General features: G+C 39.3%; 1 protein-coding gene across 2 annotated transcripts in view; it reads left to right on the top strand.

Moving 5' to 3' along the window:
• GRIN2B (glutamate ionotropic receptor NMDA type subunit 2B) overlaps positions 1–19,753 on the top strand; it is a 444,798-nt gene that overhangs the window by 298,632 nt on the left and 126,413 nt on the right. For both annotated transcript variants that reach the window (NM_001413992.1, NM_000834.5), the window contains one exon: positions 7,644–7,758. In NM_001413992.1, the coding sequence (NP_001400921.1) occupies positions 7,644–7,758 (115 nt within the window). The remainder of the gene's footprint in view (positions 1–7,643; positions 7,759–19,753) is intronic.

The raw sequence follows: 19,753 nt of genomic DNA, 5'->3' as shown, positions 1-19,753 counted from the left end.
GTAATATTATTATTTATATTTTTTATGGTGAAGAAAATAAGGAAAGAGAGGTTAAATAACTTGCAAGACCACACAGCTTCAGAACTGGTGGGTGCAGGATTTGAATGGAGACTGTGACTATTACACTGTTTAAGAACTGTGCCCTTGTTCTTAAACACCTCGCTACACTGCCTGTTGCAGTATGAGTGTGTACGTGTGTTATATACACTGTATTCTTTCCCTCTTTAGTTACTGTTTCTCCCCTTTATTTTCTTTCTATTCACCTCTCACCACTAAGCATTTTGGGGCATTGTCCAGATTTTTTTCATTCATTTGAATGAGAATATCTTACTAATGAGAATGAGTTCCTCCATTTCATCCCAGATGGACCCGTAGGTAAGTCTAGAGAGCATTGTTCCCTAGCCATGGCCTGCCACATTGACCCTGCTTGGTGAAAGGTGGCATAGATAGGAGGTTATCACAGCTGGTGACAGAACTCCTTAAAATTCTCATTGCTTTGATAATTGGCCAAAGACAGCATCTTTCTGGAGGGAGGTTAATGTTCTCTACCTTCTTATATCAGTCCTCCTCTGTTTTCTTTCATTGCAGATTAAACTAATTCATGGTATTCAGTTGTGAAACAGAATCCAGGTAATAGCTCTCTGAAATTTTTTATTGTTAGGCCAAGGGGGCTGAAAGCACTTTTTCTTCATAATAGATGGTGAATTTACACATTGCCACTTACACCTCTCATGAATTCAGTTCAGCCCAAACTACTAAGGGGCTAAAGCACATTTCTCACCACCAGTAGGAGATAAGAGGTATATTAAATTTGTATCAATCACTGTTCAAGATACTTTAATATCTCATTAACTTAACACCACTAATTTAGAATTTAAGATACTTTAATATATCTCATTAACTTAACACCACTAATTTAGAATTTAAATAACTGTGATATGAACTAGCCCAAACTTGAACATTTTATGATTTGTGAAGAATGGTTTGCAAAATAAATTAATGGTATAAACACCATTTCAGAGAAAATGTGTTATCCACTGGAAGACAAACTATTTTTAACCCATCTCAAGTAAACATAAACTAATATTACAGTCTGCTCTTTAAATTAGTTATTCCTGAGCTTCTCTACAAGGTATCATTTTGCCTAAAAGAACAGCTTAGGAAACTGGCATTTCTAATTATATTGTCCAACCACAGAGTTTAATATTTTTATATATGACATATCTCAAAGGAATCATTTAAAACTTCTTCAAATCCTTCTTCCTTAAAAAGAGGACATTGTTGACCAGATTGTAATAATCTTGCCTGCCATGTTGACCACGCTAAACTGGATTAATCATTTTGGATTTATTTTGATAATTATGAATTTCTTAGCTGGGAAAAATTCAGAAATTTCTGTTTAGTCTATCTAAACTAGAACACTGAAAATCTAATTTTTAAATATCTTTGCCTCTTTTCTCCAATACCAGTCTGTAATTAGGTAGCTTTTAAAAGTTTTAAGTCCACTATTTCTAATCCTTTGGGAAATTGTTTCTACTATTTCTAGAGGTACTGTGTATAAATAATCATAATTTCTAAAAAGAAACTCTAGTCTTTCAAAAGAATTGTGTTTTTTCCATTCACATGGTAGAGAGTAATAACAGCAGCTAATAATAACAGAATTATAGCAATATTACTAAGAACAGTATTAATCAGATGAAATGTGAGGTGATAAGTTAATTTGCTTCACTAGAGTAATCTTTTTTACTATCTATATGTATCCCATAAAATCATGTTGGATACCTTACATATACACACTAAAAACTATGTTTAAAAAAGAAGAAAAGAAATGTAGAGATAAACAACAGGTCAAAGGATCCTCCCTGTAGCTTCTCACACCAGACAAGTAAGATGGTATGAACCACCTGTTTTATAGATGAGGAAGCTGAAGGCTTTAGAAGGTGACACATGCATGATACAAAGTTACAGAGTTACAGCTTTTCAGAGCCAGAAAATTGCAAAAAAAGAGGGGGTCAAGAATTTGTCCCTTGCCTGGAACTGTGTTCTTTTATCACTTTACTTTTAATAGCTAGAGAAGGAAAATGAGAGATATGAAAAACCGCCACTTTTTAAAAGCATGGTGGCACATGGAAAGAACACCGGACTAGGGGTTAGGACACCTGGGTCCTATTCTCAGCCTTGTCATCTAATCACAAAAGCCCTGCTGGGCTTTGTCTGTTTCATCTGAAGATGAAAAGATTGGATGAAATGAGATGCTATCTCTTCTCTGATTGACACATTAGCAGATATTAATTTTAAAAATCTAGTGCTTGTAAAGACATGCGGGGTAAAGTAAGTACTGTAGTTCTAGGGCTGTTGGTTGGCTGGGAAAATTCTGGTAGAGCTCCTTCGAGTGCCTCCCACTCAAGGTATGCCGCTAAATCATTGCTGTGGGTATCAACGTGGTGCAGTAGATGAGCTTGGAGTGGCATGGCCAGAGTCAGAGAGGCAGAAGGGCTCTTTAACCTTAGCCTGATCCCATTAAGCTCACTGTGGTGTGACTTTGGCCATATAAAGCAAATGTATTGGCTCTGAGCCCATCAGGATTCTGAGGCTCTTTCTCAACAAGCAGGCAAGCAGGTAGATTAATCATCTAAGATAGATTTTGTTTTATGCAGTCTGTATTAGGGATCTATATAGTCCAGGATGTGCCATGTGATTCAAGAATGCTAAAATGCACATCTGGAGCTCTGTGGAACTGATTTTACTTCACTTGGTGATCATGGAAGGACCCTGAGCTGAGAGTCAGAAGACTTAAGCTCCAGTCCTGAACAGGCAGGTCACCTTGGCAAAGTTGTTTTGCATCTTGGGACCTATTTTCTCCTCTCTAAAATGAAGGTTCTCTATGGATAATTTCTAAGTTCTCTCCTAGTTTTAGCAATGTGAGATTCTGTGTAATATTAGAACTATATGAGGCAGACCATCTGGTTTCTTAAGGTTCAAACTACATTCTAGAGACAAATCAAGCAATTTAAAATACACACACACACACACACACACACACACACACACACACACACACACACAACCTTGATGGGACTTCCAGGGGATTTGAGTCTCATGGGCAGAACTTCTGCATTTGGCTGCCACTTGAAGCAAAGCTTTTTGACTGTGTACTTGAGGATGACATGTTTGGAGAGAAATAGAATAGCTATGGCATCTCTTAATTATAATTTAATCCTTTACCCAGGATTCACACATGAACGTTTCGAGGTTCTAATTAATATTAAAAATCGACAAAGTACAGCCAGATCCAAGGGTAGTTGGATATTTTCAGGTCTTATGGAAAGTTAAATTGATTAATATAGCCATTTGATCTAGTTTAGCCTCCATATGTAGAAGCCAATCTCCATTTTTCAGATGTATTTCATTGATAATTGAGTCTTGTTAAAATGTGGTTATCACACTTATTCACTGAGGTTTAAAATCAAGCAACTTTCTTGCCTTTAGACTCTCAAATTATGCTAATATATTCTTTTTCTGAATTTTTCCTATTAAATAACCTTATATTTGTATCATATTTTATATAGTTTTCCTATCCACTCTTTCATTTGGTCATCACAACAGACTTCTCTGATAAGCTGGAAGTAAAATGATGTCTCCATTTTAGAGAAGAATAACTGAGATTCAGGTGCCAAGATCACATGTCTAGAAGTGACCACACCCCCAATTATTTTTTCACACTTTTCATTACCAGTGAATGGATGGGTTTGTTCTGCTATTCAAAGGGCATCTTGCTCAAGGCTGATGTATATTTGCATGCTCCTCAGTAATGGCTAAATGTTCTCACACCACAAGAAATTACTCATGAAAACACAGTGTGAATGATTAATCTATATGCTGCTGACAGATATGAATGATGAAAGGATACTTTGGAGAAGAATATTTTGTATATTGTCATAAAATTTTACTAATGTTTTTGATAAGTGTAAAATATGTGAGGAGTGCTTAGGTAGATAAAATGAACTTAGAGCTGGAAGAGGAGGAGCACCCCAGAAAGAGAACAATTTCTAAGGAAAATCAGAAGGCGCTGGAACAGGAATAGCCAGAAAAATTTACAGACCAATTACATTGCTCATGAGTGTGATTTATTTTCTGCAAGTTCAAATTTCTCAACTTGTACACCTAATTCAATGCTGTCCCCTTCAAAGAAGTCATCTTGAGAGGCTATATAGTTATTCCATTGATGTTGCTTATTAATTGAATTATTTTTGGAACTTCTCTTTTGTAATTGCCTTCTGAAATAGATACTTTCCTTTAAATATTCTTAATGGTGTTTTAGCTAAAGGCAGAATTATTCAGCACAGTGTCTGATAACAAGGTGGATGCTTACACCAGATAATTTATTTCCCTCCTATCCTTCTTCTTCCTTACCCCTCTCTCCTCCATCTCTCTCTTCCTTCCTCCTTTTCCTCTCTTTCTTTCCTTCCTCTTTCCTTTTCTTCCTTTTTCCTTCTTTCCTTCCTCTTTCCTTTTCTTCCTTTTTCCTTCTTTCCTTCCTCCTTTCAAAATAGATGAGACCAAATTGTTTTACATGTCTCATAAACTTTATTTGAAGACTCCAGAAATTGTTCAGGGTCTTTGTAGTAAGAATACATTTTCAAGTATATTATATTAGTGCTTATATTCTAGTTTGTTGGTTTAAAATATCCTGTCTCATGGTTTTGTAATTATATTCTATGCAATGAATTCTTCAGGGCCTTTGGTTGGAGTGTTAGAGTCATTGCAAACTATAAGAGACCTGAATATTACCTTCACACTAATGATGGGCTTGGGTGAGCCGCTCTGGGCTGAGAGCTGAGGAACAGGGCAAGAAGTGGAGCAGATTGAGCATTGAGTTGTGTTGGGGATGCTACATGTCACTGAGTGGAGGTGTCTGGAGAGAGCAGCCAAGGTGGGATGGTAGAAAACACGAAGCCATGGCATATGAGGAATATGTAAAGGCCTTGGGATGCTAAGTCTGATGTTGTATATGAGAATCAGGCTGGTGTCAGGAAAGGACATGAAACTGGAGATATTGCTTAAAATGTTACTTCTGCTCCCAATTAGCTGTGTAACGGTCATACTGGACCCTTGTTGACTCCAATAGCGATGGCACCATATCTGAAAGGCCTAAGAAGAGACCCAGAGATAATGAATGAGACATAGGATTTACTGGGGAAACTTACATACAAGGACAATCCAGTGGTGGTGGGCTGGACAGGAGAACTGCTACCATTTGTAAAATGCATGCAGTTTATATAGCATTTTCACTTAGCAATGTTCACCTAAACGTTCATTTAACCCAAAACAAAGGGCTCTGATTCCCTGTATGGCCTGCATTCCAGCAGATGAACTGGGGGTTTAGATGTCCTTCATAGATAAAAAGTGAATCTCTGGGTTGGCTATTCCAAGATTTCTTAGCTTAGGACTCTGAACATTTTTCTTAGACAGTAGGGTCATTCTCAGGGTATGCATAAGTTATTGCTGTCAGGTGCATCTGCCATACAATAACATTGGAAAATAATTTAACCTCCTTGTGCTTGTTTTTTAATCCATCAAGTTAAAATTACGGAACTAAAAGAGTTTAACAGGTCTTTAAAGAGTAAAATTGATTTCATAAGGGATGTATGATAAATGTCTTCAAATACTTGAGAAACTCTCATGTAGAAGAAGGATTAGACTAAGACTGTAGAATCTCTAAAGAGGAAACATGTATCAAAGGGTTGCAGGGGAGGAGGTTTCAGCTTTAAGTAAGAAAGAACTAAGTAGCCAACACCGAGATGCCTACCTTGAGCCCAGAAGGTGCCATTAAAAGTTCCCCATCAGTGAAAGAATTCAAGAAGAGCTAAGAAGACCAATATTATGATATAGAAGGGAAGCATAAACTGTAAGAAGTGGTAGGCTAGTTGATTGTGAAAATCTCTTTCAATTCTAAGATTCTAGGAATCGCTACTCCTTTGGGATCTTCTGTGTTCTTGATTGCATTTGTGAAGCTACACAGGACCAGGGAATGACAGGCTTAAACATCCCAGGTAGTTCTGGAAATGAGAAGTGATCCATGAGGGTTTGATTCATGCTGCATAAGCATCATTAGAATCACCAGAAGAATATGCATCCTAGCAACCTGGTTGTTTAACCTAATGTTACCTGGAAGAATCAAAGAAGACCTCCCAGTTTCATTGAATGAGAGGAGTTAAAAAAAGAGTCTTCAAGCTGCCTCCTTTAGCATCCTCACTGCAGTTACAAGATACCCCTTTTGCTTCTTAGCAGGGACATGGTCTCACAAGAAACATTAAGCCCAAGGCTCCAGAGTAACATGTCATATGAACACAGAGCTAATCATTATTGATTCCTTGGGCCATTATGGTAAAAAGACATTAATTACCATCAGTGCAGTTGCACTAATGCAGTTGTAATGAGCATGCCTTTGGGAATTCCCAGTGAAGGGACTGCTCATCAGATGACAGCAGCCAGAGGGGAAAAGGGTGGGCTGAGGTGAAGGTGTCCGGGAGGAAGACAGTTTCATTGGTCTGACTCTAGTTACCTCCAGAGTTTCTGCTAATCTATGCACAAGTAACCAGAGCACTCTGTGAAATCCCTTTCCCACCTTTTCCCATTCCTTAGTATTTTCTGTTCCCTATACATAGTGTAATAGCCCTGATTTCCAGATGCATCCTGTCATATCAGATCCCTGCTTACTGTACTCATCTCACAACTCTTAGAAGTATGGGCTTGGCAAGACCTTAGCAAGAGTTAAAGAGTATGTGCATATCTCTGGGATAGAGGGAGACTCTAGGCTCCTACATGCCACCTCTGTTAGCAGAAAGTTGTCTTGGTACACTCCTACTTTCATTTCTTATCTCCACCACTTCCAACCTTTAATCCACCTTTGTTTTTTGATAGCAATTGTTAGCACTTAATGAGACTCTACTATGCACCAGGCCGCATGGTAAGTGGTTAACCTAAGTTATCCCCTTTAAGCCTTACAAACCTAATGAAGTAGGTCCCTTTATTAACCTAGTTTTCACTGATAGGGAAAAACACAGAGGCTCAAAAAGGCTGAGTAATTTGCTCAAAGTCATACCTCTAGGCTGAACTTAAACCAAACACCTTTTTAAAAATTTTTATTTTTAATTTTAAGTTCTGGGGTACATGTGCAGGATGTGCAGGTTCATTTTATAGGTAAACTTGTGACATGGTGATTTGCTGCACCTATCAACCCATCACCTAAATATTAAGCCCAGCATGCATTTGCTGTTTTTCCTGATGCTCTCCCTCTCCCCACTTCCCTGCCTACAGGCCCCAGTGTGTCTTGTTCCCCTCCCTGTGTCTATGTGTTCACATTGTTCAGCTCCCACTTGTAAGTGAGAACATGCGGTGACCAAACATCTTTTATTTAAAATTTTTATATTACTTTTTCATGTGATTCCTACTATGTGAAAACTTGGATGACTCTATTGCATAATCAAATGCGAGTTCAAGAAGTACCAAATTTGATAATGGTATCTGTATTTCTATTTACTTGTCTGTCTCCAGCCAGCTTTCTCTCTATATACCTGACTGCCTTGTTCATGGTATACCCTCTTCATACTTTTAATCTTCCTTTTATTTTATCTTTACAGGTATCTGATCAATGTCACTTTTGAGGGGAGGAATTTGTCCTTCAGTGAAGATGGCTACCAGATGCACCCGAAACTGGTGATAATTCTTCTGAACAAGGAGAGGAAGTGGGAAAGGGTAAGACATGTCTTTGACAATTCTTGAGCAAAGTAGAGTAGAAATGTGAAATTTTGCAACACAATGAAGGAAAGTAGTCCTTTGGCTTTTGTCCCTAGACCTGTGGAGCAAGGGATCAATACCTTGATACACAGGAGAAGCCATTTCTCAAACTTGCATGTTCATTTACTTGCTATTTTGGTTAATCAAGGGATTGTTTTCTTTGTGTATTACCATTTATTGTTGATAATTGCATTGCTGTCTGAATCTTGACTTTGTTTTTGTGGGAGAGTATGTGTGTACAATATAACATAATTTGGTGAAGAAACTGAATTAGTGGTATAGTTCAGGAGTTGTGTCCTAGAGAGCATCTGGGAAGCTTATAAAGATGAATTTATGAGAAGAAAGGTTTAGACTTATTGTGATTGAAGGATTCCCATGCAAGGCTCTGCTCAATCTCTCCCACTGCCAGTTGATCACAGTGTTTGAAATTCTACCATCAGAAATTAATTTCTGTGGGCACCAGACTGTCTAGGTCCAATTCCCAGCTCTATGTAGGATCTTAGACAAATCTCTTCACTACTTGATGCCTCAGTTTTCTCATCTAGAGAAGGAAAATAATAATAATAGTACCAACAGGTATAAGGATGAAGTATACGTAAAGTATTTAGAAAGTTGCCTGGTTCATAGTAAGCACTCAATTAGTATTACAATTTTTTATTATTCCAGATTCCCAGTTGAATACAAGTATTCCTGAGAGTAATGTCATCACTGATTTTTCTCCAAATATGTTCTGCAGTGCTCTTGTCTCTCAAGACATTTTGCTGAAAAATAGCTTTACAGATACATAAGGTTGGGAGATGCTACCTACTGTTTCTCACTCTAGGAGAGTCTTGGAACATACTAACCCTTGGAAGTTCAGAGGTGTCTTATAGCAAAGAAACATCTTTACTTTTATTTAGAATGGAATTTCCTAAAATTATTCTACCTTGAGACCCCTTTGTTCATGATATTCATATTCTGTGAAAACATGTTGGGAAACTGATTTAAGACAACTTCCACAGATTCCATGGACCAATTGGCTGAGAATGGGCTTCAAAATGTTAGCATAGTTCTGCCTAGAATGGAAATCCAGCTATATATTTCTAGAGAGAGTTACCAGAAAATGAGGCCAGAGATAAACTTCTTGAAATTCACAACCTCATCACAGAGAGCCCTGGACAGCTAGTTATGTGAATGTGTGAATGCTCACCCGAGAAACTAGGCATGTGTGGCTCAGGCAGTAGAATCCAGGATCTAATTCTTCAAGTTGAAAGACCTCAATCTATCATGCATTTTCTCTTGTCAGATAGGGCACAATTATAAGGCTTAAATTATGCCAGCTTTTTATTTAATCTTATTCTTTTGAGACAGGGTCTCATTCTGTCACTCAGACTAGAGTGCAGTGGTGCTGTCATAGCTCACTGCAACCTCAAAATCCTGGGCTCAACCTGTCCTTCCAGCTCAGCCTCCCAAGTAGCTGGGACTATAGGTGTGTATCACCATGCCTGGCCAACTTTCAAATTTTTGGTAGAAATGAGGTCTCACTATGTTGCCCAGGCTGGTCTTGAACTCCTGGCCTCAAGTGATCCTTCTGCCTCAGCCTCCCAAAGCACTGGAATTACAGGTGTGTGCCACTGCGCTTGGCCTGCCTGATGTTCTTGATTAAAGTTGCCCTCCCTCCACTGAGTTATCATTTGTTCAGAAATGGTTGTTCCCTGGGCTTCTGCTTTTCACTACAATCAAGCTGCTTTCACTGCTGCTGTAGAGATGTCATAATTTAAGAAATGTTCTGGGTTCTTCATGTATAACAGGCACTTCTGTCTGTCTCTAGAAGAGGAACTATTAATAACTGAGGCTTCATAGGTAGCTCATAAGATGTACAGAGGGGGCAGCTTTCTTTGCAGTAGGCTCACAATTACTGTCTCAAGCAGGAGGAGGCATCTCACAACAGCCTTTTCTTAAAGAGACACCACTCACCATCAGGTCATATTGACTCCTCTTCTTGAGTCCAGAATCTGAGGCCTGCATCCCCTACCCCTTTCTAGAACTAGACCCTACTTCCTAGGGTTTGGATCCCTTCCCTCACCAATTCTATTTTTATTCTAGCTCTTGAATTTATTCTTTACTTTATATATGATCCAGGGACTATGTGACAATTTTTTAAATGGGCCTCCTTGTCCCTGGTACCTGCCTTTACTCCTTCAGATTAGTCCAAAATATGGCTGCCAGAATGAGCTTCCTGAAGCACAATTCTGACTGTGATGTTCCTTCTCTGCCCAAAGCCAACTTGAGCCTTCTATGGTTTATGGACTGGGGCTAGACTTGATCTGTTCTTGCATTCAAGGCTCTGGTCTGCCTTCCAAGCCTTTATTCTCCTCCTCATGATTTCCTGTCTCACAATTAAGCTACCCTGGGCTTCTTCTTGTTCTGAGAATGTGCCTTTGTAGGTCCCGTCCCCTGTACATGTCATGATGTGTCTTCCTAGAATGAATTATCCAATTATATAATCATAACCATCCTTTGAAACCCAATTAAAATGTTGCAGCTTCCTCCCCTCATCTTTGACTGAGATAAAATCTCACACTCCCTTGTCCCCTATAGATTTTGTCCATACGTCTGTGGTAGCACCCATCACATCTGCCTCTTGTTAGAGTTGTCCATATGCAAGCTTCCAAAGGGCAGAGGCTGTGTCTTTAGCTCAATTGTGTCCTCACAGCAACCTGTAAGGGCGTATTTCATAGAGCAGTTCAATAAATATTTGTAGCATGTATGAGAATCATTACATAATAAAAGAATCCCAAAATCTACCATTAAGAATCCAAGTTTATGTTGTTGCCCTTGATACGGTAGCTGTTGTTTCATGGGGAGGGGCAGGAGAAAATATTTGTGTAGATTGAATTTTTGTAGATCATACTTTACATGTACTAAAGGAAGTTGCTGTTTAAAGGAATTCTGTGGTTAATCTTTTTGTAGGGCATTTGGGAGGGGTTGAGATAATAGAATAGAACATTTTCATATCGACTCAATTAACCCAGGGAACACTTTGGAAGATAGATGTCTAGTGTTCATTGAGGTCATAGAGCCATGTAGCTCCCCAACTTGAAGGCTTCTATTAGGGCTCACCTGTGGGCAGGGAGGATGGCAGGAGCCAGGTGTGGCTCCAGGGAATGGCTGGGTTGTGGTGAGATTGCATCATGGAAAGTTGTATTGGTCCTTCCACTGTTATCCTCGTCCCCAGGACATCATCCTCAAGACGCCTAATGCTGCTTCAGAAAGTCCCCTTGGTCCAGGGAGGATTTAGTGTCAGTGGACTCCAGGGAGGCAGGCACCAGGGTGAAGATTCTACAGGGAGGATTTGAACACTGGACAGATAAGCAGGGGAGGAATGTGGGTTTGTGGAAGAAATATGGGCTACAGATAGGACTGTCAGCCACTGGTCAGGCCACTAACTAGCCATAGGACCTGCTTTTTTCACTTTTCTACATTTTTCTTTTCTCATCTCTAAAATGATGGCATGGGACTAAGAAGACTTCTTGGGTCCTTTCTAGTGCTAACTTCTGGGACTGCAAAATCTCCTTGCAAATAAATAGCAGATTGGAAAAGAAATTGGGTGAGGGATGGAACACACAGGAACCTGAGCTTGTTTTGAAGGGCATAGCTCCTAGGACATATTTGTCATTCCTGTCATTTAAGTAAATATTTCTCCAGAAAGGCCCTCCTAATGACCCATGATGAGGTAGTCACCCCGTCACACTGTCTAACAGTAGATTTTAATTTTCCTGAATACACTCATTATCTGGCGTTTTGCTTACTTGCTTGCTTGTTTGTTTATTGCCTGCCTCTTCACACCAGGATGGATGCTTCCTGGGGGCAAGGACCTTGCTCACCTCTGTAATTCTGACCCTTCAGAAGAGTGCTTGCCTTCAGTGTCTGGACCACTCAAAAGATAATTGCTAAATAAATGAAGAATCTGTATGCTTAGGAGAACTAGAATATTGACAAGCTATTTCACTTCTACCCTGAAAATCTCCCATTTAGACATAGAAGTTTACTGGAGACAGCATGGGAACAGGTAACTTCCCCTCCTCTGGAGTGAGCACCCCAGTGCCAGGGAAGGACTTGGGGGGAATTGTCAGGGAGGCCCAACTCCCAGTGGAGTCATACATGTGTGACCAGCTTTTAACAAGGCATCTCGGGTCAAGGAAGATTAAGTTGTTGGTGTGAACCATGTGATACGACTTCCCAATGTTCCTTTAGGTTCCTAAAAGTAGTCCCAATGCTACAGTCTTACACATTTTGTTCCCTTGGGAAGACTTGAAGTCAACACAACATAGTCTGTGGTTTTGGAAATCAGAACTGAGTTCAGTTCTCCATGTTGCCATTTATCAGCTAGTGATGGATACTACCTGAGTTTGTAACATAGGGTTTTACATAAGGCTGTTGTAAAGATTCAAAGAGGTTTTACAGTCAAACATCAGTGAATAGTCACTGAAACAGTCAGTCTCCAACAAATGTCAATTGGTAGTCAATACCCTTCTTGTGTAATTTTTAAGGTAATATTTGCACATGGTAAAAAATCAAATGGCACAAAAGAGTATCCAGTAAAAAGAAAGTCCTCTTCTCATCTATGACCCTTTGCTTCCCTCTCCAGAGCAATGCTGTTCCCAGTCTCTGGAATCCTCCCCAGAGCAATTGTTATTGCCAATTTCTTATGTACTCCTCTGAAAATACTCCAAACATTTACAGATTTGATACATTTACCCAACTACTTTAATAAAAAAATGAACAGTATCTGCTCTTGTGAACCTTTAATGGGATCCTATGTAAGGAACCTCTTGGAGGCTTAGGGGGCTAGAATAGCAAAGAGATCTCTGGATCAGAATTTGATTCACAGAAAGCCAAGAACATCTCCCTGGTATGTAGGAATGTGGAGAAGGACATTTAAAAAGAAATATTTTACACACACATATGCATGCAGACATAGCATGGTGAGTTGGAAAGGGTAGAAATGGTGAAAAAAAAAATCATTGTGTGCAGACTGGGCTCATTTGTAAGGCTCCTAAGTGGGGGACAGCTGCATAAACTTGCTTTAAAAATAGTCTGGCACAGAGATGCAGTTCCAACAAGCTTTAAGGCTTCTGTCTCTATCAGAGCCTCTCATGATTTGCTTCATTGCTACTGCTCTCTGCTTCCATTTAATCGTTCCTAAAATGGTGATAATAAAAATGAAATGCAGTGGGGGTGTGCTCTGAGTAATGACTTCAAGAAATGATGATGGTGCATTTTTGGGCTCTGAGATGTAAACAGACCTTAAAGGGACTGTCTGGGTCAGAATTAAAGGAGAATATGTAAGATTTGCATCTCTGCTTATCTTTTTCAGAAAGAGACAAGAGGGTGTTTTATAAGCCCACTCCCTCTTCCCTGCCTCCACCTACCAGAAAACTCCCTTCCTTATGTAGATTAAAAACATTTTCAGTTTGTGTAGATCGTTCTCTGGACTCCCCAAACCTGTTTCCATCTATGGCTTTCAACTCTGAGATGTCACAGCCACATCCACCAGTAAAGGAGAGACTAGAAATGAAAGTGCATGGCACACAGTTTTGAACCCATGATAGTACTCAGGAATTAATGGATGGATCAACTGGAGGGAAGGAGTGCAACCAAACCGAGAAAAGGGAGACCCCCACAAGAGCTGAAGCAATGAAAATGTAGTAAAACAGAATGCTCTGCCAGTATCTGCAGCCTGGAATAAATAAGACAGGCTAAGGGACGCTGTGTCTCTGGTGACCTCATGTCCAGGAGGTAGCACCAACTCCAGGGTGTGGGGGCTCTGTGATCCTAGCCCCTAAGGACTATGGTGATCATAGTCCACAATGATCAAATCAGTGTTTATACAATAGAGGTCAATCACTACCTCTATTGATATTACTTGAAAGCTTTTGACTGGCAAAATAAAACAGCTCCTCCATCCCCGCTCATACATATTCACTCACTCAGAAGAAACTGGCACATCTGTGTGCCTCTCCACTATACCTCTGTGCCTAGCATGGTGTGAGACATCACTGAGCAGGCCAGTAAGTGCAGTGTTGGTGACTGCTTGGGCACAGCTGGACAGACTTTGTTCCACCTCCCAGCCTCAGAGGAGAGGCCAGGGGATATTCATGCTCTCTCCAGGCTCTACAGAAGGCATCTAAGGGGGTGAAACAGAAGCTCCTCATGGCAAGCGTGTTTATTCAGGATCTCCTGATACCACCGTTTGACAACATGCTATTTTTACTGACTTTGAACTGAGTACTAATATGCATCATTGGATTAAGGGATTAGAAGACAGGATCCATGGAGAAAGGCTATGGGAATTGGGGTTGTTAAGGGAAAGAAAAAAAAGGCAATGAGGTGATGACTTATTCTCTTTAAATGTGTGAAGAATAATTGTACCAAGTGTGGAGATCAGCTGTTCACTTTCTCCTCTGAGACACAACCAGAGTGAGTGGGCTTAAGATCAAGCAGAGAGGGTTTATATTAGCTAAAGGGAGAATTTCTTAACAGAGAGAAGTGTTGAGTACTGGAACTGTTAACAACACCAGGGGATGACTTTGAAAGTCCTCAAAATTGTATATGTCCTTGTCTCTCTGTAATGTACAGTCCCGTGCAAGCAACAATGCGTGAACTAAATGGCTTATCCTCCCTATCTCCCCACCTCCCCTCCCTCCCCTCCCCACCTCCCCTCCATTCCCTCTCCACCTCCTCTCCCTCCCCTTCCAACCGCCCCTCTCTTCCTTTTTACTTCTCCTTCTTTCTCTTTCCTTTTCCTTCTTCATTCCTTCTTTCCTTCTCACACATAATTATTAAGCACCTATCATGAGCCAAGGACTGCCCCCACAAATTTGTATCATAGCTTTCCTGGTGGCTGGGAAAAACAAAACAAGTACATTGCAATAAAAAAAGTGCTTGTTGTGATGTTTAACATTTCTATAAACTAAGGTGATTTTTAAATCTTACTATTTGATACCATCTAACATTGGGTTGATGTTCATTAGTAAAGACTCCATTAATGTGTGTTTTACTTACGACAATGACACGGGGCCACTGGATTACATATTTTGTTGTGTTTTTCTGAGTTGTGATTAGTGCAGACCCTCACATCCAGATGTTTCCTTGTTCACTGAGCTCCAAGAGCCCTGGCCCATCCTGTTTGACTACACCATTCTCCAGGGTTCCAGAAAGAGATTACAGGAGGCAGCCATGGAGAGGAGGAGGTAGAGGTGTGCTGTTAATCCCTAAAGTCTCAACACTGCTGTAGGCTCAGTCCAAAATGTCAAGCTGCTACTCCCATGCACATTTATGAAATAATTCAAAGAGAAGAGCAGGATGTATTGGGGGAATAGACTTTGGAATATCATTTCAGAAAGGCTGGTTGCCTTCCAGTGCTTGTCAACAGCCACTGAATGAAAAGGATAAAAGAACAAGATAACCTTGGTTGACTTTACTTTTGAAACCTGTACATGCTGATGGACAGAGAAAGCAGAATTGAATTCAGAGACTGAAGAAGTGCTGGCCTAACCTTGGCTTCAGGAAAAACAGTGAAAAGGAAAGTGTTCCCAAAGCCAAAAGATGGCTTTCATCCATCTCATTTAAATGTTATTGAGATTTTTGTTTCATGACAGTTATCTGTGGTTTGTCCCTGAGTCCTCTAAACAATTTTTTCTAATTTTTATTTTACAATGCTTTTCCAGTACTGGTGTTGAAGAAGAAAGAGTGGTAGAGAGATGAGAAAATTCTATGTTTATATCTAGGTTAAAAACAACATTTATGATTTTCTTATTATGTAGGTAATTAATGTTTATTAAAGACATTTGAAGGGATAAAATAAAATTTACCCATATCTGCACCTACAAAGAATTAGCAGTTATATTTTAAAATTTCTTTCCAGTGTTTTTTTTCTGTGCATTCTGTGTGTACACTGTAATACAATACAGAATAATACAACAGAATTGGCATCTTAATGTATGGATAATTTGCAATCTACTTTTTTCTCTTCCTAGGATATTGAGGACATGTTCCCTTTTTATTAAATGTTTTTCAAAAGCATGAAACTTAATGCCGAATATTACACTGTGAGAATATAACATGCTTCTTCAAACTGGTTCCCTATGATTAGACATTCATATGCATGTTAAATAGAAACTCTGGTTCTCATATGAAAATAATTTCAGAGTTGGTGGTCTAACTGTGATGCCATAAGATTGCTTTTTAAAGTGAGAAGATTTGTCCCCTTTTTTTTGTATCCAATGTCCCTAAATGTTAAAAATGAAAACCCTTAATTTGGGAATTGGTTTGTTTATATCGATTCTGGAACAATCAGGGGACACATATGCAGTCTGGTGGAAGGCTGTCCTTTGTTATTTCGGGTCTGCTAGGAGTCCCAGAGGGTTTTCTCTTTTTGATCTTCTCATACAGTGCGCTGCCTTCTAACTTTGTTGAGATATGTATTTCTTATCTTTGGTAGTTACATCACAGAGAATGGGGTTGTCCATGTGTTCCATGTCTGTCTGCATTTTTCATCATGTTGGTTTCATTTTCTTGAAAGTTGAGGGCTTGTAAAATTCAGACTCACGTTCCCAAGGAGTCATATGACTACTGCTCAGTATGAGACCCTTTCCAGCGCTGTTTCTATTCTGTGGTTCATACATGACCCAGAAGGGAGAGAGCAATGCCCTTCTTTCACCAGTAGGGATAGAACATACCTGACTTGCTGCTATAGCAGTATATTATAAAAATACCTTTACATATTTTTCACCAAACAAGCTACTTTGTGCCTATATTAATAGCATATTGACTTTAGCTAAGACCTGAAGTTTGGCATTAAAGCTAAAATACCTGATTGTCCTTCATATGCAAACATGCCTTTATTGATCTAGCACCCGAAGATCTTATGCGTTGAGTTTTTCCTGCAGTGATGATGGATTTGTACCAGCCATGCACAGGCTGTATCTCCACAATACCTATTTATGAGAGCTGGCCAGAAACAGGGTAGAAATAATTCATGTATACAGGAAGAGAAGCTCTGACCTTGGCATGTTAACTCTGCCAAGCAGCCTGTGGTACAAACATTTTAAAGGAAGTAATAGCCAACAACAACAAAAAAATAAAATTTAAAAATAATAAAAGCTCTTAATAAAAACCATGAACATAAATTTCCCACAGCAGCCATAGCATTCAGATTATTCAGGGTGATTTTATAATTTTCTCTGTTAGGGTTATTTCTGCTCATAATTTGGTGAACCTTTTAGTTTATCCTGACAGAGATGTCTTAAGGTGGCTTGCTTAGGAGCTTTTCTACTTTCCTTCCACCCTCCCTCTCTCTTCTGTGGCCAGGTGTCCTTCGCTGTCATAGAGGTGGCCCATTGCTGGTTTTACAGGCGTTCCAGGTCTTAGTTCTGTCAGCTAGCTGTTCTGAAGGTTTAAACTTAAAGCAAATCTGTGCCAGGGGAATGGTGAGAAAGAAAGTATGACCCTGGAAGGAGAAGAGTGCACATAGAAGGCAGTCACTGGGGAGGGAGTGATGGACCTCGAGGGGAAAGAAGCCCGTGCTCCACTGCCCTATTCTCCAGGTGCACACCACATTCCTGCTCACACCAAACTTCTGGTGGATGCCTTTCCATGTTTTTCTAGCTCAAGCGTTTGCTGTCAGATGTCTTCTGAGGTCATCATCTTTGACTCTTCCTGAAATAATATGTACTCGTTTTTCTTCATTCATCCCATAGGAAAGGAAGTTTGCTGGCAAAGGAACAGAATATTCCCTTTGAGGTAAAATTCATAGTGAATATTTAAGGCACCTCAGCATTCTCTTTATAGAAAAGTGAACACAAAATTCCATTTTCCCTATAGGATCTGGGAAAGACATATAAATGATCAGACAGTCTAGCCTGGAATTAAGGGACATTAGGAAGATTTGGCCATGAATACATCTGACTTTTATGTAACATGTTATTAGCAATGTTATTAATGGACAAATTTAGCATATATGATCCCATTTTGATTCCTATTAAAATGTTGAGAAATACTTGTACATGTAAGTAAATTGAGGATCAGAGGTCACATGATTTTCCCAAAGTCACATAGCTAAGGAGTGGCAGAGCTGGGTGTAGACATTTACATCTAGCTCCGTTTGTGTCCAGTGTGCTTTTTGCCTCAATACATGGAGTATAAGAGTACAACTAGACTAATGGGATCCAAATGTAGCAATGTCAATGGGGATAAATTCATAGACAAGAGGACAAGTCACACTATAGAAATGTGCAGACCCTGCTACTTGAGTTTTAAAACTACGTGTTAAGAAATGGTCCAGCATCTGGGGTGGAGCTGGAGGTGTGGAGGCTGGTTAGCCCAGACTGTGACTGGCTATTTCAGTGTAACATTTTTCTGTGATTAGCAAAAATAGAAGGAAGAAAGGAAGGAAAGGAGAGAGGGAAAGAAAGATAAAGGGGGGAGAAAGCTTTCTTGTATCTTTCTATACTTATAATTCCTGTTATCACACACACACACACACACACACAAACACACACACACACACACAAACACACACACACCCTCTCTTTTCAGTTAGGAACTCAGAACCTATCTCCTCAAACTGTGAGGAAAGAACATGTTTCTTTGAATTACAAAGGCCATAACTACCTACAGAAACAGCTGTCTAGGTCCTCATTGCATGGAAGGGATTTTCGAGGAAATAGTCATCTTCTGAATTAAAAGCTTTTCTAAAATCAACCATCATGGCAGTGGCACCGTATCCCTGCAGCCCCATTGATCAGACATCTGTTGGAGGTGCAGAGAAATGTCAAAACACTGAGGGGAATTTAAAATAGCTGACCTACAAAAACAGCTCTTAAACCTTAGTGGGACAGTAACATGAAAATTTAACTGCTTTATTTGAAACACAAGCAACCAAATATTTTATGAACTCAACTAGCTAAGGGAGAGGAGTTTTGAGATCTTACATAAAATGAGATAAATTAAACTCAATTAAGTTAAAAAAAAGTATAAGAAAGAAAAAGTAGGAATAAAATTCAACAATAAGAACACTGATCTTCAAATTCATCATTGCTGCATCAGTGTTTCCTCACATGTGGCTGTGAATTTCAACTGTAGTATTTGAGTTAATTCAGAAGGGATGAGTATTTTTTTGTTTAAATAATCATCTATTTTTATAGTTATCTTCTACTTTTGGGAAGTGGCACAACTTACATTTATAGTAATGATACGAATTTTTTGATACATATATTCTTAAAGATTATTTCAAAAATTAGTATAGGTGGTATACAGATGTGGCAAAATTGTTACAGTACTACTTGAATGAATGAAATTTGGGAAACATTTCCACAGGGCAAAGTGTTCTTCTCCCCCACCCCAGCCCCAAAATCATGGTGTTTGAGGTTGACCCACCTTCCCTTCCTTTTCCCTCCTCACCTCTCTGCATTCAGCCTCCATGCCCAATAATTGCAACTAACTATTCTCCAGCACCTCTTGTGCTTTTATGCCTTAAGCCCTGTCTTATGCTTTTCTCTTGACCTTGGATTCTTGAACTTGTCTTTTGACACACAGTTCAAAAACCAAGAGAAACCATATTTTGGTCACCTCTGCCCAGTGCAGTGATTTATCTAAATAAATTTAAATAAATATTATTCCCCCTTTCTGTGCCTTTGTTTCTTCATCTGTAAAATGGGGATTATAATAGCACCTACCTCAAACTGTAAAGTTTTAATTTTGTTAAAACTAAAATTATAATTCATGTAAAATTCTTAGCACAATATCTGACATGTAGCAAGTGCTACTCTCGTGTTCACTATCATTTTACTTGAACACATTTTAAACCAATGATAATACAAATGAAATTAGATTCTAGAAAACAGGAAAATGGAAAAATTGACCATACTTAACTACACAAAGACACACACAAACTAGTTGGGTTTTGGCC

This window comes from Homo sapiens, chromosome 12 (assembly GCF_000001405.40).
Source record: "Homo sapiens chromosome 12, GRCh38.p14 Primary Assembly".
In the NCBI taxonomy this organism is placed as follows: domain Eukaryota; kingdom Metazoa; phylum Chordata; class Mammalia; order Primates; family Hominidae; genus Homo; species Homo sapiens.
The sequence above is the reverse complement of the archived record's forward strand: the minus strand, read 5'-3'. Positions and strand labels throughout refer to the sequence as shown.